The sequence below is a fragment of the Homo sapiens genome, chromosome 6, assembly GCF_000001405.40.
Source record: "Homo sapiens chromosome 6, GRCh38.p14 Primary Assembly".
NCBI lineage: Eukaryota > Metazoa > Chordata > Mammalia > Primates > Hominidae > Homo > Homo sapiens.
In genome coordinates, this window is record NC_000006.12 from 111047555 (window position 1) to 111072736 (window position 25182).

The window sequence follows — 25182 nt, forward strand, 5'->3', positions numbered from 1 at the left end:
CATTTACTCTATCGATGTGGTGTGTTACGTCAATTTACTCTTGGATGTTAAAACAATCTTGCATTCCTGGGATAAATTCCACTTGATCGTGGTGTATAATCCATTTTACATGTTGCCAAATTCTACTTCCTAATATTTTTTTGAGGATTTTGCATCTTATTTGTAAGAGATATTAGTCTGTAGCTTTCTTGTGGTGTCTTTGGTTTGGGTATCAGGGTAATACCAGCCTCATAGAATGAGTTGGGAAATGTTCCCTTTTCTTCTATATTTTGAAAGAGTTTGTGAAGAATTTGTATCATTTATCTTTTAAAAATTGTGGTAAAATACACTAATATAAAAATTTCTATCTTAACCATTTTTAAGTTTACAATTTAGTAGTGATAAGTATATTCACATTGATGTGCAACCAGCTTCCAGAACTTTTTTTTTTTTTGAGGCGGAGTCTCACTGTTGTCACCCAGGCTGGAATGCAATGGCACGATCTCAGCTCACTGCAACCTCCGCCTCCCGGGTTCCAGCAGTTCTCCTGCCTCAGCCTCCCAAGTAGCTGGGATTACAGGCATGCTCTACCATGCCCAGCTAATGTTGTATTTTTAGTAGAGATGGGGTTTCACCATGTTAGCCAGGCTGGTCTTGAACTCCTGACCTCAGGTGATCCACCTGCCTCAGTCTTCCAAAGTGCTGGGATTACAAGCACGAGCACCGCACCTGGCCCAGAACTTTTTTATCTTGCAAAATGGAAACTCTATACCTATTAAACAACCTCCCATTTCCCCTTCTCCCTGCTCCTAGTAACCACTGTTCTATTTTCTGTTTCTATAATTAAAAAAATTGTTTTGAGACAAGATCTCACTATGTCGCCCAATCTAGAGTGCAGTGGTTATTCTCAGGCACAATCATAGTGCACCATAGCCTCGAACTCATGCTCAAGCAGTCCTTCTGCCTTAGCCTCCCAAGTACCTCAGACTTTAGATGCATACCTGGCTTTGTTCCTATGATTCTGACTGCTCTTACGTACCTCGTATAAGTGGAATCGTACAGTATTTATCTTTGTGTGATTGGTTTATCTCACATTAGCATAATGTCCTCAAGGATCATTCATGTTATACCATGCATCAGAATTTTCCTCCTTTTTAAGGCTGAGTAATATTCCATTGTAGGTATACATCACGTTTTGTTTATCCATTCATCTTTCGACGGACACTTTGGCTGCTTCCATCTTTTGACTATTGTGAATATTGCTGCTATGAACAAGAAATATATCTTTGAGAACATGCTTTCCATTCTTTTGGATATATATCCAGAAGTAGATTTTCCAGATTATATGGTAATCCTATTTCTAATTTTGAGGAATCGCCATGCCATAATACTATCATAGAATAGCACCATAGTGGTATTATTTCTTTTTTAAATGCTTGGTATAATTCACCAGTGAAGCTCAGACTTTTCTTTTATTTTACTATTAATTCAGCCTGTTTAGTTGTTATAGGTATACTCAGATTTTCCATTCTTTCTTGAATCAGGTTTGGTAGTTTGTGTCTTTTGAGGAATGTGTTCATTTCATCTAAATTATATTATGTAATATGTTGGCATACAGTTGTTCATAGTATTCCCTTATAATTTATTATTATTATTATTATTATTATTTTGAGACAGGATCTCTCTCTGTTGCCCAGGCCGGAGTGCAGTGGTGCAATCTTGGCTAACTGCAACCTCTGCCTCCCGGGTTCAAGTGATTCTCCTGCCAACAGCCTCCAGAACAGCTGGGATTACAGGTGTGCACCACCACGCCTGGCTGATTTTGTATTTTTAGTAGAGACGGGGTTTCACCATGTTGGTCAGGCTGGTTTTGAACTACTGACCTCAGGTGATCCACCCACCTCGGCCTCCCAAAGTGCTGGGATTACAGGCATGAGCCACCTTGCCTGGCTGCCTTACAATTTTTATTTCTGTGAGATTAGTAGTAATGAGCCCTCTTTCAATTCTGGATTTGGTAATTGAGTCTTTTTTTCTTGGTCAGCCTTGCTAAGGTTTTGTCCATTTTGTTGGTATTTTTAAAGAATCAGCTTTTGCTTTCATTGATTTTCTCTACTGTTTTTCTATTCTCTATTCGTTAATATCTGCACTAATCCTTATTATTTCCTTCCTGCTGCTTGCTTTGGGTTTAGATTGTTCTTCTTTGTCTCTTTGTCCTTTTGGCTGTGTGCCTTCTTTTCTTTACTCTTGTTAGAGTGGACTAGAGAGAGAGCAGAGATAAATGCATGTAAAACAGAAGTCCTCTAGAGAATCCATTCACTAATGAACTGTTCCTTTCAGTCAAAACATTGTTGCCTCTGGGTGACCTTTAAAAAAATGATATGGAGGCCGGGCACCGTGGCTCACGCCTGTGATCCCAGCACTTTGGGAGGCTGAGGTGGGTGGATCACCTGAAGTCAGGAGTTCAAGACCAGCCTAGCCAACATGGTGAAACCCTGTCTCTAGTAAAAATACAAGAATTAGCCAGGCATGGTAGCACGCGCCAGTAATCCCAGCTACTTGGGAGGCTGAGGCAGGAGAATCGCTTGAACCCGGGAGGCGGAGGTTGCAGTGAGCCGAGATTGCACCATTGTACTCCAGCCTGGGCAACAAGAGTGAAACTCCATCTCAAAGAGAAAAAAAAAAAACAGACGTGGAAAATTGCCACCAGTGTTTTCTACATTAGTGTGAGTTAATTCCTCAGATACTTTGTTAAAGCCCAGTGTGATAGGTAAAAGCTGCCTAGTAGAAATAGAAGTTTTAAAAACAGGGCAAAGGGAAGAGTAACTTTCCTGTTTTCTGACTGCTGAATGGTCAGGAAAAGTTGCCAAACAGGAGACTGATTTGTTCAAAATTTGGGAACTTGCTGAAGTAGGGGACTGGGAGAGGGAAGGACAACATAACAGGGGAGATGAGGAAGCTAAAAAAGGAAAAGAACAGTTCTTCTCACATACTACTTCTTAATCAGCACAAAGTTAAGACATTTCCACCCACTGATTTAATTCCTTTCTGTGCTTTATATCATGCCATTTGTATTTTGTCAGCTATTTACTATTTTAATAGTGATAAACTTTCAGAATCTATGAGACACATAAATCTGAGCCTTTAAAATCTGAATTTTCAAAGATAGAAAAACTAGAAAGTGAATATTTGCATTACAAATATATTTCTTACTATTGCAAACAAAATTCAGTATAAGGATCTCTAAAATAGTTGATATCTTTAGATATTAGATGATTCACTTTCCAAAAATAGTTTGCAGACAGCCTTCAAGGAACACAACGGACTTTTAAAATAAGGCACACATTTCCCTAGCAAGCAGACGCAGAAAAAAAGAAATAAATAAAATCAGGCCCATTTATGATAATAAAGTGAGAAAAATAGGAAAACTAATATTTGGATTTATTTTAGAGGCAAAAGTCCTGATCTAATTCTTGAGACAGTTAGTCAATTCTGTCTATATTTTATTCATTTATTTGAAACATGCAAACATAGTATTTTTGCTCCCCTTAGATATGTTCAGAGGCCTAGAAACTTTGGGGGAAGAAACCACAAAAAACTTTTAATGTAGATTTTAGGCCGGGCGCAGTGGCTTACGCCTGTAATCCCAGTGCTTTGGGAGGCCAAGGCAGGCAGATCACTGAGGTCAGGAGTTCAAGACCAGCCTGGCCAACATGGTGAAACCCAGTCTCTACTAAAAATACAAAAATTAGCCATGTGTGGCGGCATGCACCTATAATCCCAGCTACTCAGGAGGCTGAGGCAGGAGAGTGGCTTGAACCCAGGAGGCGGAGGTTGCAGTGAGCCAAGATGGTGCCACTGCACTCCAGCCTGGGTGACAGCGAGATTCTGTTTCAATAAATAAATAAATAAAAATAAAATAAATTTAAGTGGCCAGGTGTGGTTTGGCCAGGCTCATGCCTGTAGTCCCAGCACTTTGAGAGGCTGAGGCAAGCAGATCCCTTGAGTCCAGGAGTTCGAGATCAGCCTGGGCAACATGGTAAAACTCCATCACTACAGAAAAATAAAAAAATTGGCTGGGTGCAGCGGCTCACGCCTGTAATCCCAGCACTTTGGGAGGCCGAGGTGGGCAGATCACTAGGTCAGGAGTTCAAGACCAGCCTGGCCAACATGGTGAAACCCCATCTCTACTAAAAATACAAAAATTAGATGAGTGTGGTGGCGTGCACCTGTAATCCCAGCTACTTGGGAGGCTGAGACAGGAGAATTGCTTGAACCCAGGAGGCAGAGGCTGCAGTGAGCTGAGATTGTGCCACTGCACTCCAGCCTGAGCGACAGAGTGAGACTCAGTCTCAAAAAAAAAAAAAAAAAATTAGCCAGCCATGGTGGTGTGCACCTGTAGTCCCACCTACTCAGGGGGCTGAGGTGGAAGGATCACTTGAGCCCATGTGGTCGAGGCTGCAGTGAGTCATGAGTGCACCACCACACTCAGCCTGGGCAACAGAGTGAGACCCTGTCTCAATACATAAATAAATAATAAATTTAAGCAACAGAAAATACCAGATGACACACATTGCATTCACTCAGAAATTATTTATTGAAGGTCTAGAATGTGCTAGGCCACTGGGATATAACAATGAGTAAGACAGGCATGTTTCTGCCTACATGGGAGTTTAAGGTCTACTATTGGAAAGACAAACAAAAGACTTGACAAAAGTAAACAAACAAAATTATCACAAAACATGATAAAAATCTGTAAAGAAACAAACCATGGCCAGGGATAGAGAATATCAGGGAGAGGGAGACACTTCTCTTCCACGGGGTGGTCAGGAAGGCACTTCTGAGGAAATGATATGTCAGCTGAGACCTGTGAGACAAGAAGGAGCCAGTCACTTAAAAAGCATGGGGCACAGTTAGAAGGAACAGTGCATTCAAAGCTCCAGAGCCTGGAACGGGGCTGACCTTCTAGAAACTAGAAAAGACCAGTGTGGCTGGAGGGCCATGAGCAAAGGAGAATGGCGAAAGAGTGAACCCCAGGTTAGCAGGGATCCAGATCACACCCAGCTCTCTTAAGCAACTGTGTTAGTCGGCTGGGGCTACCATAACAAAATACCACGGGCTGGGTGGTTAAACAATAGAAATTTATTTTATTTATTTTCTCATGACTGGAGGCTGGAGGTCCAAGATCAAGGTATTGGCAGGTTTGGTTTCTTCTAAGGTCTCTCTCCTTGGCTTACAGATGGCCACCTTCTCTCAGTGTCTCCATGTTACCGTCGGAGAGTGTCCAGGTTCTTGGCATTCTGAACAAAGAATTGGACAAAATGGACAAACAAAGCCAAGAAAGAATCAGCAATAAAAAGAGAGATTTATTGCAAACAAAAGTACACTCCACAGGGTTGGAGCAGGCCAAGCACAGGGACTCAAGAGCCCAGCTACAGAATTTTCTGGGGTTTAAATATCCTCTAGAGGTTTTCCATTGGTCACTTGGTGTACAACCCATGCAAATGAAGTAGTGGCCCGCAATCAGTGAAGTGAAGTTACAAAGGTTACACCATTTGCAAACGTCTGATTGGTTGTGGAAAGCAACCATTCAGAGACTAAAATGAAGTTACAAAGTTACGCTTTTATGCAAAGGAAGACAAGGCCTGCAATCAGTCTGAATGGTTGTGGTAAGCAACCAATCAGAAGCTGAAGTGAAGTTACAAGTTACACTCCTATGCAAACATCTGATTGGTTTCAGAAAGCAACCAATCAGAGGTACTTTCAATATTCCATCTGCCACGCATAAAAAGTGGGGGGCAGTTTGCAAAGGGAGTAGCTTCCAGTCCTTTTGTTACTTAGGTGTGGAAAGTTGAGGTCTTCCTTTTGATTTAGTTCTAGAAAGTCAGCGTGAATTGGCCTTAGCTTCCCTGCCTCCAGACCCTATTCTCCTGCCTCATCCACATGGTCTTTTCCCTGTGCCTGCACATCCCTAGTATCTCTCTGTATGTCCTAATCTCCTCTTTTTATAGGGGTCCAGTCAGGTTGGATTAGGGCCCACCATAAAGACTCCCATTTAGCTTAATTACTTCATTGAAGGCCCTATATGCAATGACAGTCACATTCTGAGGTACCGAGAGTTAAGGTTTCAACGTGTGAATTTTTTTTTTGTGGGGTTGGGGGACACAATTCAGTCCATAGAGTAACTTTAAGGGATCCATTTTTATTTATTATTATTATTATAAAGACAGAGTCTCACTATGTTGCCCAGGCTGGTCTCGAACTCCTGGCCTCAAGTGATCCTCCCATCTCAGCTTCCCAAAGTACTGGGATTACAGGCATGAGCGACTACACCTGGCCTATTTTTTTTTTTTTTTAATTTTTATTTTTACTTAAAAAATGTTTTTCTGTGTCATTTCACTTAGGATAACTTTAAAGATTTCAGATTTACTCTTAAAAGCAGTGGAAAACCATTGAAGGGTTTGAAGCAGAGACTGTATTGAAGGGGATGTGGCAGACACTTCCAGATATCAATTGTTTTTTTAAATTTTATTTTAATTTTTAATTTTTTGAGACTGAGTCTCGCTCTGTCGCCCAGGCTGGAGTCAGTGGTACGATCTCAGCTTAATGCAACCTCCGCCTCCTGAATTCAAGTGATTCTCCTGCCTCAGCTTCCTGAACAGCTGGGACTACAGGGCTGCGCCACCACACGTAGCTAATTTTTGTATTTTTAGCAGAGATGGAGTTTCAGCATGTTGGCCAGGCTGGTCTTGAACTCCTGACCTCAGGTAATCCATCTGCCTTGGCCTCCCAAAGTGCTGGGATTACAGGTGTGAGCCACCATGCCCTGCCCAGATATCAATTCTTTACTAACAAAACTCTGATTTTGTTGAAGGCAGCAATGTGTTCAGCCAAAAATGCAAATTGACTTATTTCCTTGCCACAGGGGTGGCCAAGTGATAGTATAAGTGGCTAATGAGATATAATTGGAAGTCTACTGAGAGGACTTTCGTAGTCTCAGTGATGGCTATTGTTTCACTGATAAAAGGTGTGTGCCTTTGTCCTATACCCTTTCTCATTTTTCCTGCCTGGGAAAAGGATACAATGCCTAGAGGTGAAGCAGCCATCTTGCAACCATGAGGGTGAAAGTTTCATGCCAATATACATATACACACACACACACACACACACACACACACACACACACACACAGCAGGCAGATATAGGAGCTTGGTTTTCAAATGACACTCTTGAGCAGCCATATAAGCTCTAGTCTGTCCACATCCAGACTTTTTGTTACATAAGAAAAATAAATCTACTTGTTTCAACCACTGACGTAGGGATTCCTGTTACAGCTGAACAGACTCCTGGCTGATACGGAGGGCTGGAGTGGAAGAGGGACTACCAGTTTGGAGGCCTTTTCATTGGTCCATAGCAGAGATCAGAAAGACCTAGACAAGTGCTGGCAGTTAACTCAGAGGAAAGTAGAGGAATTCCGGATATAAAATACATTGCCTGAGCAGCCCCCACATAGATACCAAGAATTTCCCCTCACTTATTCAGGGCCATTGAGTCCACCTTGCTTTAATAGGCCTTATAATAAAGTCCTGTAGCATGTGCAGCCTCAATAACCATTTTTTTTTAAAGATAGTCTTGCTCTGTCAGCCAGGCTGGAGTGCAGTGGTATGATCTTGGCTCACTGCAGCCTCACCTCCCAGGTTCAAGCGTTTCTCATGCCTCAGCCTCCTGAGTAGCTGGGATTACAGGTGTGCACCACCACGCCCAGCTGATTTCTGTATTTTTAGTAGAGACAGGGTTTCGCTACCTTGGCCAGGCTGATTTCAAACTCCTGACCTCAAGTGATTCGCCTGCCTCAGCCTCCCAAAGTACTGGGATTACAGGTGAGCCACCGTGCCCAGCCTCAATAAACATTTTTGGAGCACCTACTCTGTGCTACATCCTGTGCTTTTGAGGGATTTATTTCCAGGTTTCTAAAATTTACATTGGTGACTCCTTCCTGTGATATCAGTTGTTTTCAAACTTTGTGTCTGTAAACCACAATAAAAAATATATTTCATATCATGACTGGAACATATGTGACTTGACAAAAAACTGAAAACAAAGGTTTTACAAAACAATATCCAAAGTATGTGCTGTATGCCTTAATATTTTCCGTTCTATTCTACTCCATTAAAAAAAACTTCTGGTCATATCCACTGTCCACCAAACTCGCTTTTATTATCTATGAGTCAAGACCCACCGTTTAAAAGTCAATCTCTGTTATTCTTTTGGCAATCTTTCTTTATCACCCAGTGATATCTCTTGTATAGTTGACTTAAAAACATTTTTTGTGGGTACGTAGTAGGTGTATATATTTATGGGGTACATGAGATGTTTTGATACAGGCATGCAATGTGAAATAATCACATCATGGAGAATGGGCTATCCATCCCCTCAAGCAGTTATCTTTGTATCACAAACAATCCAATTACACTCTTAGTTATTTTAAAATGTACAATTGGCTGGGAGCAGTGGCTCACGCCTGTAATCCCAGCACTTTGGGAGGCCAAGGCAGGCAGATCACCTGAGGTCAGGAGTTCGAGACTAGCCTGGCCACCATGGCAAAACCCCATCTCTACTAAAAAATACAAAAATTAGGTAGGTGTGGTGGTGGACGCCCTGTAATCCCAGCTACTCGGGAGGCTGAGGCAGGAGAATCACTTGAACCTGGGAGGCAGAGGTTGCAGTGACCTGGGATTGCACCACTGCACTCCAGCCTGGGTGACAAAGTGAGACTCCATCTCAAAAATACGTAAAAAATAAAATTTACAATTAAGTTATTGTTGACTATAGTCCTCTGTTGTGCTATCAAATAGTAGGTCTTATTCATTCTATTTTTTTTTTGTACTCATTAACCCTCCCCGTCTAGTTGATTTTTCATGCCAACGTCTCATCTTACCTCCTGGTTCATGAGCCCCTGCCTTGCTCCTCTCTGTGTCCATAGTGCCTGGCCCTGTGCCTGGCAAATAGGGGATTATATGTTCCTTGAAACCCAGAGCCATACAATGTGGCTTTTAGGATCTCCTCAACACATTAAACATGATAAATGCACCCTTTCCATTTGTCTGGGGTCAAGGTGGGAGCGGAGATGGTTCTTAGTAGTTTAGGCAAATAGGAAAACTTTGTCCCCAACAAATACTTCAGGCTGCCATCCACATTTCTCTTCAACAATCCACCTCTTTATAGGACTGTTAGTATTATCATTATTATGTCAAATCTTAGATTTTTAGTGCCTTTCTGAGTATTCAAAACATGGGCTAGTTGATCTGATTTAAGGCAACACACACCTTAAAACGCTAGAGGATTGAGCGAGGGCAGGAGACTGTCTCGCTAACTAGGAAATTTCTAGAAGCCCAGGAGGAAAATGCCATGGCAAGGTGATGGTAGGGCGATGGGGGACGGGGATGTTTATTGGCCCTGGTCACAACATCCTTGGATCAGCCCATCTGCATTTGAGGCACTTGAGAGATGGAAGGCTGGGGAATTGGGGGGCAGTTTTCTAGAGCACCTGGATTTGCACAAGCCAGCGGGCAGAAGACAGAAAGCAACCTTATTTCGGGTTCATTCTTCAGTCTTGTTTTCTCTGGACATGCTGCCTCCATTTATTAACGAGATATTCTGCCTCCTGAGCGTCCCCACGCTGTGGGCAAGAGACAGGAATCTCAGAGTTTGTATTTCTGGTTTCCATGGGCAGACGTGGTAGGTGGGCCACTTGCTTCCTGTCATTTTGGCTCAAGGGAGGATCTGGATGCCCCTGGGAGAGCCACCATTTGTTGTGTGCAAAGAAATTGCTATTCTAATAAAAAGCTATTCCAATTGCCTGCTTTAATTAGGCAATCTGGAACAGGCTCCAGGATACACTGCTAGGTGAAAAAACTAAGGTGCAGAGAGTGTGCATAGTCTGCTGCCACTAGGGGGAGAAGAAGGAAGAATATGTAGTTGTAAATTCGTTTTGCGCATACACAAAATATCTCTGGAAGTACACACGGCAGACTAGAACTGTTTGATGAGAGCTGGGTGGTTGGAAGACAGGGATGGGAACGCGAGGAGACATCTTTCTTCTTGGCCCTCCGTATATGCTGAATGTACTACACCATTTTATATAAGGGACTTGAGCATCTACAGGTTTTTGGTATCCTCAGGGGATCCTGGAACCAATCCCCTGTAAATGGGGAGGGACAACTGTACTTTTTTTGCATTTTGAACTTTTTTACCATATATATTATAATCTATTCAAATAAATTATTTCATAACAAATAAAATAATTAGCTCCTAAAAGTAATATTCATGAGACATATATAATAACATAGTTTATAATATCTTTTTTTTTTCTTTTTTGAGACAGAATTTCGCTCTTGTTGCCCAGGTTGGAGTGCAATGGCGCAATCTCGGCTCACCGTAGCCTCTGCCTCCTGGGTTCAAGCAATTCTCCTGCCTCAGCCTCCCTAGTAGCTGGGATTACAGGCATATGCCACCATGCCTGGCTAATTTTGTATTTTTAGTAGAGATGGAGTTTCTCCATGTTGGTCAGGCTGGTCTCGAACTCCCAACCTCAGGTGATCCCCCCGCCTCAGCCTTCCAAAGTGTTGGGATACAGGCATGAGCCACTGCGCCCAGACTTCTGTCAGTCTTAAGATCTCTATTTTAATGTTAATGGTGATCAGCTGTGTGTGAACTTTAAAAGGGAGAGTGTATAATGAGGCATGTCCAGCAACCCCATCCTATCATGGCCTGGACTAGCTATTTGGGTTTCTTTGGAAGGCCCTTGGCTGAGACGGGGTGTCCATTCAGTCTGTTGGGGGACTTGGAATTTTAATTTTGGTTTACAGTATCCTCATTGTTAAGTGACATATGACTATATTTTTTTCTTCCCAGGTTGCAGCAACTGAGCTGCCCAGAGGTGGACTAACCTACTCACATGTTCTTGACTCCCCTTGTGGGGGAGAGGGCTAGATTTGAACTAGAAGCTGGGTATGGTGGAGCAATCCCACCTACAATCCTAGGTATTCAGAAGGCTGAGGCAGGAGGATTGCTTGAGCCTAGGACTTCCAGATCAGCCTAGGCAACATAGCCAGACCCCATCTGTAAAGAAATAAGATAAAACAGATCTGGACTAGAGATGAAGCTGTAAGGCAGTGGGCAGAGTCAAACAAAGGAGGAAGGATTTCAGTTGCTTCCATCTGAGGCACTTTCTCCACCTTCACCACGGCTGTTTGTGTGCTGCAGGAGAGCCAAGTGAGCCTGTCTGCATACACCTCCTCCTTGAAGCTTTCCCATCTACTGTGCTCTCACAGCTTGGATCACCTCCCATTCTAAGTTCTCTCTAGTTGGTAGCTCATAAGTTCACACTTAGCTCCTTGTCCTTTTTTTTTTTTTTTTTTGAGACTGAGTCTCACTCTATTACCCAGGCTATAGTGCAGCAGTGCCATCTTGGCTCACTGCAACCTCCATCTCCTGGGTTCAAGCAATTCTCCTGCCTCAGCCTGCTGAGTAGATGGGATTACAGGTACACACCACCACATCTGGCTAATTTTTGTATTTTTAGTGGAGACAGGGCTTCGCCATGTTGGCCAGGCTGGTCTCGAACTCCTGACCCCAGATGATCCACCTGCCTCAGCCTCCCAAGGTGATGGGATTACAGGCGTGAGCCACCTCACCTGGCCGATAGGGTCCATTTTGATTCTCCATCTATAGGTGTGTCCCCACCTGTGCTAAATGTCCCTAGCCTCTACCTCTTATTTTAAAGTCCCCTACCTCCTGGGTGTCTTCTGGAGAACACCCAGCTACATTAAACAGGTTTGAAGTAAGCATGTGTTTCCCCTGCCAAACCTGCTGCCTACTTTGTATTCCCTGTCTCTGTTAATAGCACTACCACCCACCCAGTCGTCCGGCAGGATCTTAGCGTTCACCTTGACTCTCTCCTCTGCCTCGACCCCTCTCTCCCTCCCACTGTTCTGCCAGTTCTCCCCTTCTCTCCATACCTTCTGCCTATCATCCTTTACCTTTCAGTCTCCCAGCCTTTACTAGAATCTGTCATTTATAAATAAAAGTCTGATCCAGCAGCTCTCCTACTTAAGGACTCTCAGCTCTCCTCCTTAACAATTCCATTCATGTGATAAAATCCAAATTTCTTGTGCGGTAGAAGAGAGTCTTTATAATATATTCCCAACCTGCCTCTCTGGCTGCATTCTCTAACACAGCCTAAATTATACCAGCCTTCAGCTTCTTAATGTCCTCCAAACAAAATCTGTTCTTTACAACTTGGTACTTTGTACAACTCTGTACTTTTGAACACTGCTGTTTTTCATACTTAGTGATCTCCTACTCACCTTTTCAAGGTTGCCTCAATGGCTTGAGGGGCAATCTCTTTCCCCTTGTCTCTCAATCAGCAGACCTGGGCTATGTGGATGATGGAATGCATGATAAAACAGCTAAACCTTTGATTTGATTATGTTCTTAATTTTCATCCCACTCAACTCCACTCTTTGTAAAGGTTTAATAAATAAGCATGAATTCTTTCTTGACATTAGGCTGCAATTGGAGCCAGAGGATTATACTACAGCTAAGAAGTGTCTGAACAAACAAGGGATGGGGGTCAAAATTGTGCCGGAAGGAAAAATGCCTTTCAGGCTCTTGGAGGTTTGTTGCCCCTGATCCTCTGGCTTTGATCTCCAGGACTCCATTACAATAAGATATTAGCGTTAACCAGCTCATTGCTTCTGTGCCAGGAATGTAGGCCAAGGGGTTGTACTTAGAAAAGAAGTGGGACCTTGTCTCTACAAAAAATTAAAAAATTAGCCAAGGATAATGGTGCGTGACTGTAGTCCTAGCTACTCAGGAGGCTGAGGTGGGAGGATCGCTTAAGCCCAGGAGTTGGAGGCTGCAGTGAGCTATGATTGCGCTTCTGCACTCCAGCCTGGGGGAAAGAGGAAGACCCTGTTTCCTAAAAAACAACAAAAACAAAAAACCAGCAACAATGATCTGTGATCGGACTCAGACACAGCACAACACTGGAAGACAGGTCTTCTCCAGTAAGGACAAGAAGTAGAAGCATCAGGGGATGGATATTCGATTTTCCATGTTGTGATTGTTACGCATTGCATGCCTGTACCAAAATATCTCATGTACCCCATAAATATATACACCTACTGTGTACCCACAAACATTAGAAATAAAAAAATTAAGAAAGAAGTAGGAGCAGCCATGGCTGTGATCTAGAAGCAGGAGAGGAGGTACCCCCTGACCCTGACTGTGGTTAACCAACTTCTCTGGAGCCACAGCCCCTGCTGACTAGAGGAGACCCAGGCCCAGGACTTCCTGTGGGCAACTGCTATTGTCACACCTCCATAGGATGATCATCACGTGGGCTGAGTGGGGACAGGTGAAGGATGGGAGCCATCACTTGAGAAATTGACAACACAAGTGTGGCAAAGGGCATTGTTGGGATGAGGTGCACAGTTTCTAAGCACTCCCCGCCCCCTCCCCTCCCCACATGCACATGCACGCACACACATGCACAATCACACACACAAAGACATGGTCACAGACATGCACCCCTTCCTTTTAGCCTTCTTCCAATCCTGTTTCATTGTCTGTTTCAGATTCAGGTAGACGATTATAATATCCAGGATTATGATGCAGAGACGTGGTTCAATTTGCTATAGCAGAGATGGGAGCAGGAAATAAAAAGAGTAGTATTTGCCTTTTTGAGGACAAGATAGCCCTTTGGCAGCCAAAATACAGTGACATTCAAAGAACATGCCTCCTTCTGGCCTAGCAAACATTAACCTCCTCTCTTTCATTCCTAAACTTGCAAAGTCACTGGATTAGTCTGTTTTCGTGCTGCTGACAAAGACATACCCAAGATTGGGAAGAAAAAGAGGTTGAATTGGACTTACAGTTCCACATGGCTGGGGAGGCCTCAGAATCATGGCGGGAGGCAAGAGGCATCTCTTACATGGTGGTGGCAAGAGAAAATGAAGAAGAAGCAAAAGCGGAAACCCCGATAAACCCATCAGATCTCTTGAGACTTACTCACTATCACGAGAATAGCAAGGGAAAGACTGCTCCCCATGATTCAGTTACCTCCTCCTGGGCCCCTCCCACAACACGTGGGAATTCTGGGAGATGCAATTCAAGTTGATATTTGAGTGGGGACACAGCCAAACCATATCAGTCATCATCTCTCACCACCTCCATTTCCTCACCACAAACTCACTCATCACTCTGCAGGATGGCTCCCTCCTCCAGTCCTTCTCCAGGAAGACACCAAGACTCCTGAATCTTCTCAGACGACATCATCTCCCCTGGGGGAATAGCACTGCCATTCCCAGAACCAGGAAAAAGGTGGTCTCTCAGGCAGCAGCTATGAAGCCTTGGAGTCATCTTTACCTCTTTTGGGCACGTCCCCTCCCCCACCAGCTCAGCATCTGATGAGTTGCCAAGTCCCACCAAGTCCACCCCGTAGGATCTCTCTAGCATCTGCTGACATCTTCACCCTCACAGCAATCACAAAGCACCAAAGCCAGACTGTAAAAACTGCCCGCCATCAACCCCAACTCTCCAACCACCATCTTCTTCATGTCTGTATGAGCTTCCCAAGGTTGCTATAACAAAATACCACAGGGTGGCCTTAAACTGCAGAAACTGGCCGGGCACCATGACTCACACCTGTAATCCCAGCACTTTGGGAGGCTGAGGCTGGTGGATCGCCTGAGGTCAGGAGTTTGAGACCAGCCTGGCCAACATGGTGAAACCCCATCTCTACTTAAAAAAATACAAAATTAACCAGGCATGGTGGCCGCACCTGTAATCTCAGCTACTTGGGAGGCTGAGGCTTGAACCCTGGAGGTGGAGGTTGCAGTGAGCCAAAATCACACCACTGCACTCCAGCCTGGGCAACAAGAGCGAAACTCTGTCTCAAAACAACAACAACAAAAATTAACCAGGCATGATGACATGCACCTGTAGTCCCAGCTACTTGCGAGGCTGAGGTGGGAGGATGGCTTGAGTCCAGGAGGTAGAGGTTTCAGTGAGCTGAGATTGTGCCACTGCACTCTAGCCTGGACAGCAGAGCCAAACCACATCTCAATAAATAAATAAATATTTTTTAAAATGCAGAAATTTATTCTTTCCCAGTTCTGGAGTCTAGGACTTCTTCTTTTTTATTTTTTACTATTACACTTTAAGTTCTGGGGTACATGTGCACAGTGTGCAGGTTTGTTACATAGGTATACATGTGCCATGGCAGTTTGCTGCACCTATCAACTCGTCACTTCCATTAGGTATTTCTCCTAATGTTGTCCCTCCCCCAGCCTCCCACCCCCCGACAGGCCCCGGTGTCTGACGTTCCCCTCCCCGTGTCCATGTGTTCTCATTGTTCAGCTCCCACTTATGAGTGAGAATGTGTGGTGTTTGGTTTTCTCTTCTTGTGTTACTTTGCTCAGAATGATGGTTTCCAGTTTCATCCATGTCCCTGCAAAGGACATGAACTCAACCTTTTTTATGGCTGCATAGTATTCCATGGTGTATATGTGCCACATTTTCTTTACCCAGTCTATCATTGATGGACATTTGGGTTGGTTCCAAGACTTCGCTATTGTGAACAGTGCTGCAATAAACATATGTGTGCATGTGTCTTTATAGTAGAATGATTTATAATCCTTTGGGTATATACCCAGTAATGGGATTGCTGGGTCAAATGGTATTTCTAGTTCTAGATCCTTGAGGAATTGCCACACTGTCTTCCACAATGGTTGAACTAATTTATACTCCCACCAACAGTGTAAAAGCATTCCTATTTCTGCACATCCTCTCCAGCATCTGTTGTTTCCTGACTTTTTAATAATGGCCATTCTAACTGGCGTGAGATGGTATCTCATTGTGGTTTTGATTTGCATTTCTCTGATGACCAGTGATGATGAACATTTTTTCATAAGTTTGTTGGCTGCATAAATGTCTTCTTTTGAGAAGTGTTTGTTCATATCCTTCACCTATTTTTTGATGGGGTTGTTTGGTTGTTTGTTTGTTTGTTTGTAAATTTAAGTTCTTTGTAGATTATGGATATTAGCCCTTGGTCAGATGAATAGATTGCAAAAATTTTCTCCCAATCTGTAGGTTGCCTGTTCACTCTGATGAGAGTTTCTTTTGCTGTTCAGAAGCTCTTTAATTAGATCCCATTTGTCTATTTTGGCTTTTGTTGCCATTGCTTTTGTTGTTTTAGTCATGAAGTTTTTGCCCATGCCTATGTCCTGAATGGTATTGCCTAGGTTTTTTTCTAGGGTTTTTATGGTGTTAGGTCTTACATTTAAGTCTTTAATCCATCTTGAGTTAATTTTTGTATAAGGTGTAAGGAAGGGATCCAGTTTCAGCTTTCTGCATACAGCTAGCCAGTTTTCCCAGCACTGTGTATTAAATAGGAAATCCTTTCCCCATTGCTTGTTTTTGTCAGGTTTGTCAAAGATCAGATGGCTGTAGATATGGTTTTTATTTCTGAGGCCTCTGTTCTGTTCCATTGGTCTACATATCTGTTTTGGTACCGGTACCATGCTGTTTTGGTTACTGTAGCTTTGTAGTATAGTTTGAAGTCATGTAGTGTGATGCCTCCAGCTTTGTTCTTTTTGCTTAGGATTGTCTTTGCAATGCGGGCTCTTTTTTGGTTCCATATGAAATTTAAAGTAGTTTTTTTTTTTTCCAATTCTGTAAAGAAAGTCAGTGCTAGCTTGATGGGGACAGCATTGAATCTATAAATTACCTTGGGCAGTATGGCCATTTTCATGACATTGTTTCTTCCTATCCATGAGCATGGAATGTTCTTCCATTTGTTTATGTCCTCTTTTATTTCGTTGAGCAGTGGTTTATAGTTCTCCTTGAAGAGGTCCTTCACATCCCTTGTAAGTTGTATTCCTAGGTATTTTTTTCTCTTTGTAGCAATTGTGAATGGGAGTTCACTCATGATTTGGCTCTCTGTTTGTCTATTATTGGTATATAGGAATGTTTGTGATTTTTGCATATTGATTTTGTATCCTGAGACTTTGCTGAAGTTGCTTATCAGCTTAAGGAGATTTTGGGATGAGACGATGGGGTTTTCTAAATGTACAATCATGTCATCTGCAAACGGGGACAATTTGATTTCCTCTTTTCCTAACTGAATACCCTTTATTTCTTTCTCCTGCCTGATTTCCCTGGCCAGAACTTCCAATACTATGTTGAATAGGAGTGGTGAGAGAGGGCATCCTTGTCTTGTGTCGGTTTTCAAAGGGAATGCTTCCACCTTTTGCCCATTCAATATGATATTGGTTGTGGGTTTGTCATAAATAGCACTTATTATTTTGAGATATGTTCCATCAATACCTACTTCATTGAGAGTTTTTAGCATGAAGGGCTGTTGAATTTTGTCGAAGGCCTTTTCTGCATCTATTGAGATAATCATGTGGTTTTTGTCATTGGTTCTCTTTATATGATGGATTATGTTTATTGATTTGCGTAAGTTGAACCAGCCTTGTATCCCAGGGATGAAGCTGACTTGATCGTGGTGGATAAGCTTTTGGGAGTCTAGGAGTTCTAAATGAAGGTGTTGGCAGGGATGGTTCCTTCCGGAGGCCCTGAGGAAGAACCTGTTCCCTGCCTCTCTCCCAGCTGCTGGTGGTTCCTGGCAACACTTGGTATTCCTTGGTTCGCAGACACATCAGCCTCGACTCTGGCTCCATCTTTACATGGCACCCTCCTCTGTGTGTGCATATCTCTGTGTTTCTGATTTCCTCTAAGGATACCAGTCAATGGATTTAGGGCCCATCCTAGACTAGACTGACCTCATCTTACCTAATTACATCTTCAAAGATCCTATTTCCAAATAAGGTCACATTCTGAGGTTCTGGGTGGACATGAGCTTTTGGGGACACTCTTCAATCTAGTACAGTGTCTTTCCAGTTGTCACCTTCTCACTTCTCTCACATGTTCTCCTTCCCTCTTGGGGACCTGAAGTCTGACTGCCTCCCTACTTTGTTGGTCCTCTGTTGACCTCAGACATTCCCTTTTTTTTTTTTCTTTCCTTGAGATAGGGTCTCACCCTGTCACCCAGGTTGGAGTGTGGTGGCACGATCTTGGCTCACTGCAACCTCCACCTCCCACGCTCACACAATCCTCCCACCCCAGCCTCCCAAAGACCTGGGACCACAGGTGTGCACCCACTGATCACAGCTAATATTTTTGTATTTTTTTTTGTAGAGACAGGGTTTTGCCATGTTGCCCAGGCTGATCTTGAACTCCTGAACTTAAGCAATACCCCCCCTCCCTTGGCCTCCCAGAGTGCTGGGATTACAGGCATGAGCCACCACACCTGGCCAGATATTCCTATCTAACCTTGATTCACACACCTGATGACCTGAACCTTATCATCTCTTCCTCCGACTTCCTATCCTGTGTCTGCAGCCTGTCTCCCTCCATAAGGATGCATAGGCTTCTGTTTAAAAGAAACCACACTCCTGTGTGGACTAGGACCACAACAAAACCTCTGTCCTCTCCAGTCGCACCTGAGCCCCCCCATGGCCAAAACTAGTCTTCAGTGAGGCTTGCAAAGTTTCCCTGCTCTCCCCAAGCCCCACCCGACAGAACCTCCTGACTCTCAGGAATTGACTCCTTACTTCATGGAAAAAATTGAACAACCTGCTCCTGCTTCCTTTTTATGTCAACTTAGAACTAAACACACTCCTCTCTCCCACATCGCAGGACGAGCTGTCCCTCTGCACAGGCCAGCTCAGCACCACAGCCCCTTGGGGAGCTGCCCCCCTGGGCCTTCAGCTCTCTCTTCTTTCTAGCTAATGCCATCTCGCTCTCTCTTTCTTTTCAAGCTAAGCTGCTTGGAAAATAGCTCTGCGGTTTTTATGCCCTCCCTTCCCATTTACTCAGAAGCCACCTGCTTCCTGGAGCCTCCCCAGGCCCCTCAATGGGATGCAGTCACTCTTCCCTCTCTCCCCCACCTAAGTCCCAGTGCTCTGTTTGTCCTCCCCAGGTATCTGTACTGTTTGGTGCCATCATATCTACTGTGCCAGATCTGTAGCAGGGCAAGAGCAGGGCCTCTGACGTTGCACATCATCACAGACATTCTATAAATATAGTTTAAAGACTCCAAAGTTGGTTGCTCCTGGGCCACACTGTGTTCCACCAGGCCCAGTTTAGGTGTCTGTTTTCCCCATGGAGCTGAATGAATGAAGTGGGCCATAAGAGCTGAGAGGGACAGCACCTTCATAGAACAAGTCAAGAGATCCCAGGCTCCCAGGATCTCCTACCAGTTGATGCTGTGGGTGCTTTCAGTGAGTTGCAGCTGGTGACAATTTAGGCAGGGAAAGGGGGAAGGGGTCTGAGAGAACAGCTCTCCCAGTAGTGCCCACAGTCTTGTTACCTCCCCTCTGACCTGAGGCTTGCATATGTACAAGACAGTGCATGAGTCTGTGAACTTTGCTTCATGTGTGGCTTTATGGAACCAATCTTTGCCAGACCATACGTATCTTCTCCTGTACCTCCAAGGCATGGTGGTGGGTCAGCTCCTCTCCTCCACTTCTAAGTCTCCTTTGTTATTCTCTGGGGCACACTTTCAACCTGCCAGCCTCTGAGCTAGTTGCTTTGCATACCACTTCATCCAGTCCTTATAGCTGCCCAATCACTTAGGTACTATTCCTCCCCCGACCTTTTTTTTTTTTTTTTTTTTTGAGACAGAATCTCGCTTTGTTGGCCAGGATGGAGTGCAGTGGTGCAATCTTGGCTCAAACCTCTGTATCCTGGGCTCAAGCGTTCTCCCCCCTCAGCCTCCTAACTGAGATCACAGGCACACAACACCAAGCCTGGCTAATTTTATTTTTTGTTTGTTTGTTTGTTTGTTCATTTTTTTAGTAGAAACAGGGTTTCACCATGTTGGCCAGGCTGGTCTCGAACTCCTGACCTCAGGTGATCCGCCCACCTTGGCCTCCCAAAGTGCTGGGATTACAGGCGCGAGACACCATGCCCGGCCAAGCCTGCCTTTCTTTCTTTTTTCTTTTTTTTGAGACGAAGTCTTGCTCTGTCACCAGGCTGGAGTGCAGTGGCAGGATCTTGGCTCACTGCAACCTCCACCTCCTGGGTTCAAGCGATTCTCCTGCCTCAGCCTCCCGAGTAGCTGGGATTACAGGTGCCCACCACCACACCCAGCTAATTTTTGTATTTTTAATAGAGACAAGGTTTCAACATGTTGGCCAGGATGGTCTTGATCTCTTGACCTCGTGATCCACCCGCTTAGGCCTCCCAAAGTGCTGGGATTACAGGCGTGAGCCACCATGCCCAGCCAAGCCTGTCTTTCTTTCTCCAGCAAGATCAACTTTGATCTCAATTTTCACCTGATCTCATGCATAGTGGTTCCGGAGTGTGTTCACCAGCTGTGTTGTGTCCATGACACAATTCTCCCTCTCCCTGTGTGGCTCACCCACTAGCTATCCCAAAATATGTGAGGGTGTCAGTGGAGAAGGAGTGATTAAAAAGGGGGCACCATAAAGCAGCAACTCAAAATACTAAAAGAAAATTTTTAAAAAGGGGTAACAGGTATGAGCTCTTACTAGATTCCATCTGACGTAACTAAGGACAAGGACTGGGGCTGTGCTCCATCTGTTTTCATATCTCTAGTGTACATAATTATGTGCTGAGTGAAGGAGTTTACTTTTATTCCTGATCAAAATCTGCAAGCTCCTTTATCTGCCTTGGCAGTGAAAGATGTTGCAGCAGCAGTGGGTGCAGATCCTCATCTTGACTCTCCTCCCACTGCCTTATCGGAATGTCATCTCAAATAGGAACAACCTGTAGGTGCACCGGAATAGGGATGTCTTTGAATTCTCTTGTCAAAAGACCTGAAGATGGTTTTGGTAACCTTGATAAAGAAAGGTTTTTGTGAAGATTTAATGTGATCATGTAGGTAAAACCTGGCACAACTTTATCAAAAAAGAAGTGTTTAGTAAAATAACAAACATATTGACCTAGCTAATCCTCTAAAGCATCCAAATAAACAAGGCTAAAGGGGTGGCCAATAACTTTTGTGCCGCTTAGGAGGCCATTGGACCTTGATGTTGTTCATGTCACTGTAGGTGGCACTGAGAAAAACACATCAGAACCTGAAAATCTAGTTTTCCTGTGGCTCTCCTCGTGCTCAGAATCATACCTAGCTGCCTTCTCTGACTTTAGGATCTCTTCCGTCTGGCTCCTGCCTCCGTTTCGGATCTCATCTTAAAACCCCTCCCTCTGCAATCTCTTGGCTGGGGGAGCAGCCCAGCCCCTTTCACCTCAGGATCTCTGCATGTGCTGTTCCTGCTCATCCTTCAGTCTCAGCTGAAGTGTCATCTCCTTCCCTGAGCATGTAGCAGAATCCCTATCTGTCATTTACAAACAAAACAACCCACTGCATGCCCAAGAATGCCCAACAAGCATGCTCAACAGATAGCTGTTGGATGCGTGCACAAAGAAACTGGACCACAGCCAGCTTAGGCAGGAAAGGAGGGCCTTGTTTTTTTTGAAGTCTTATCTGTGCTTGGGGCTGTTTTAAAAATTTGTGGTGATCTGGAAGGTATTGTTTATTTATTTGTTTATTATTATTTATTTAAGACAGAGTCTCGCTCTTTTGTCCAGGCTAGAGTGCAATGGCTTGATCTCTGCTCACCTCAACCTCCGCCACCGGGGTTCAAACGATTCTCATGCCTCAGCCATCTGAGTAGCCAAGATTACAGGCGGGAGCCACAACACCCAACTAATTTTTGTATTTTTAGCAGGGGTGAGGTTTCGCCATGTTGCCCAGGCTGGTCTTGAACTCCTGGCCTCAAGTGATCTACCCCCACTTGACCTCCCAAAGTGCTAGGATTATAGGCATGAGCCACCGTGCCTGGCCTGATTATCTTTTTAATAAAAGAGAAGAGAGGAAAAGAGCATTCTGTTTGCAAAGCTAGTAGAATACTGCTTGAAATATTTTTAGCAATCTCTGGATGCCATCCATTCTCTGATTCTGCCTGTTGATCTCATCCTGAGTACTAAATGCGCATCAGCTTGGCTTATGGTTTCCACCACTGTTTTCTGGATTTCTTGGCTTGTTGCTTTCTTGATTTCTAAGTTAACAAGGGAAGTCTTGTTACACAGATTTTTAAAATCCCAATTAAAATTATTCTGCAACAGTAGTAATAGGAGTGATACAATTTGTATCATGATCCATAAAGTGTTGGTCGGTTTCAAAAAGAGGCCAGAATGGGACTGGGGCTGACACAGTGTGACTCCTCACCCAGAGATCATTAGCCTCTGGAACAGCCTCAGCAAAGAAGCAGAGGCAAGCAGCAGGTCTAGGGACTTGTGCAGAGCTCAGGTACTGTCCCTAGGCATCATTAGGAGGTGTTGCTCTACAGGGGAGAAATAAATGAGTAGGAAGCACAAAGTGTTTCCAGGGTAAAAAAGAGTTACAGAGAAAAGTAAATGTTTGACCATCCTATGAAAACTAATAGCATAGACCAGGGATATGAGGCTTTCTGTATTCACTCATTCATTCATTCTCTCCTCCATTTATTCATTCATTCAACAAATGAACATTAAGCAGGCACCAAACTAAGTCCCAGATGATGCGAGGATGAATGGATCTCGATTCTTGGCTTTGAATAGCTCACATTACACTGCCAAACGCTATGGTGTTTGTAAAAGTGGCTTGTAAATGGCACAACACTACAACGTGTTGTTTATTCTTCCAACATTTAATATGATGGCTGGCATGGAACAGGTGCTCAAAAATGGCTGTTGAATGAATGAATAAGGAGCAGGAAGTGATAGGCACTGAAACAACATAGGCACTAAACAAGCTATAATACGTGAGAACTGGAGACAGTCTGGGTTGAAAACTAAAAAGGGATCTGTGTGATTCAATACAGCACTAAACAGGGCTCCTTGATTATTTCAGAGACTGGGAACTTCATGTTCTAAACCTTGCTTTTTTCATAACCGTGTGACTGTGGTGTCTTAATCTCTCTATGGTTGAGCAAGGGACTACAACCGTATCATCAGACCCCCTCCTTTGATATACTTTGTGAATTGGGCTCCATCCTAAAGTTTAAGAAAGGAGCTAGAGTTAGAAAAATGCACAATTGCCTCTCAACTGTAAATCCCTTCAAATCCACAGTAAGAAATGAAACAGATGAAACTGTTGAACAAACATTTCCTTTTCTGTGTAGGAATGTGGTCATCACAAAAGAGAACTACTAGTTAAATTACAACCTTACGCTGGTGCTTACGTGAGCTTCTGTCTTTCTCCTGTTGACCTTCAGGAAGCTACAATGATGATTAGTATCTAATTTGGAAATTAATTACCTTATCTAGTTTTGAGACGTACTAGTTTCAAGAGACTGACGAGAATTGTGCCAAATTTGCTCCCTCAAATTCTTATATCATAGAAAGTGGCCATTATTGGAGATATATATATATATATTTTAACCTTTTAAAAGGTTGTTTGACTATAAAAGCCCATATCACTCTTAATTTGTGATTTGTGCCAGGTCAGGGAAGAAAGCCCAGACTTAAATGTGGCCAGAAACCACAGTGCAGAAAGATTTAACAGTCCTCCCCACATTTTAGAATGAGTTGGAAAGGAGTCAAAATTTAATCTTAAAATCTCACAAATGCTTTATGACTACAATTAGTGCTCAAAGCTATCAGGTGGTGTAGACATGCACTACTATTATAGAAACTGAGTAGTACATCTAGGTTTCCCAACAGAAAGATTTCTTTGAGGCTAAACTCATCATAAATGGTAAGGACCTTTCCTTCCTTCCTCCCTCCTTCCCTCCTTTCCTTCCTTCTTTCTTCTGTCTTTCTTTCTCTTTTTTTTTTTTTTTTTTTTTTGACAGAGTCTCGCTCTATGGCCCAGGCTGGAATGCAGTGGCATGATCTTGGCTCACTACGACCTCTGTCTCCCGGGTTCAAGCAATTCTCCTGCCTCAGCTTCCTGAGTAGCTGAGATTACAGGTGCACACCACCACGCCCAGCGAATTTTTGTATTTTTAGTAGAGACAGAGTTTCACCATGTTGGCCAGGCTGGTCTGGAATTCCTGGCCTCAAATGATCCACCACCCACCGTGGGCTCCCAAGGTTCTGGGATTACAGTCACGAGCCACTGTGCTGGCCAGGATCTATTTTTTATTAAAATAATTAAATATATTTCATTATATGATAAATAGAAATTGGAAGAGACAAGGAACAGATTCTCCCTTGGAGCCTCCAGCCCTGCTAACATCTTAATTTTAGCCCGGTAAGACTGACTTCAGACTGCTGACCTTCAAATCTGTAAGAGAATCAATTTGTGCTATTTTAAGCCAGTACATTGTGGGGATTTGTTATAGCAGTAATAGGAAACCAATACAATCCTCATTTCAAAATAGTTCCCAATATGGCCGCTGCAGTGGCACACCTGTAATCCCAGTACTTTGGGAGGCCTTGGCAGGAGGATTGCTTGAGCACAGGAGTTCGAGCAGCCAGCCTGGGTAACATAGTGAGACCTTGTCTGTTAAAAAAAAAAAAAAAAAAAGATCTTTTAAAAAATTTCTAATATATTATTTTTTATTAGACTATTGGACGTCTGGAGGGTATGTGGGCAGTAGGAGATGAAATCCTTTTGTCTCTGTGGGTGGCGGTGTTCAAATATTTTCCACTTTGGTATTTCAAAAGCTTTGTAATGTGTTGTGTTTATTTTATTCATCTGTTTTTGTCTCCCTTTATCAAGCTCTCTGGCTACATAGCCCATCATATTTTTTCTACTCTTATTTAAGAAACTGTCTCATGAAGAGCTGTCTGAGTCAGGGAAGAGTCAAAATCGAAGCTTCTATTTGTGCCTTTTGTCACAAACCTCCCACACTTGTTCCATTCTTCCTTCACACTCCAAGTCTTTTAGTCTTTCTCTTTCTCAAGATGTCCCCCTCCTCTTATATCTCCTTTTCTGTCCCTCTGCTCCACTTACTTCCACTTAATTGATCACTGTTTTCTTCTCCTCTTTTGCTCTGGAGCTCTCTCTCACCTGTCATATTCTTGAGTTTCCACCTGATCTTGTTCAAGAGTCCAGACCCTTTGCCTACTTCACCCTCCAGAATTTCTCAGCCAGTGGTTGAATCTCAACCAGAGGCGTCAGAAGTT

General features: G+C 43.6%; 1 annotated feature.

Annotated features, from left to right (window-relative positions):
- Positions 9821-9970: a silencer, noted in NCBI's record as "silent region_17472". NCBI's record gives its function as "represses an Ori minimal core promoter by ATAC-STARR-seq in GM12878 lymphoblastoid cells {active_cell/tissue: GM12878}" and the evidence as "EXISTENCE:reporter gene assay evidence [ECO:0000049][PMID:35858748]".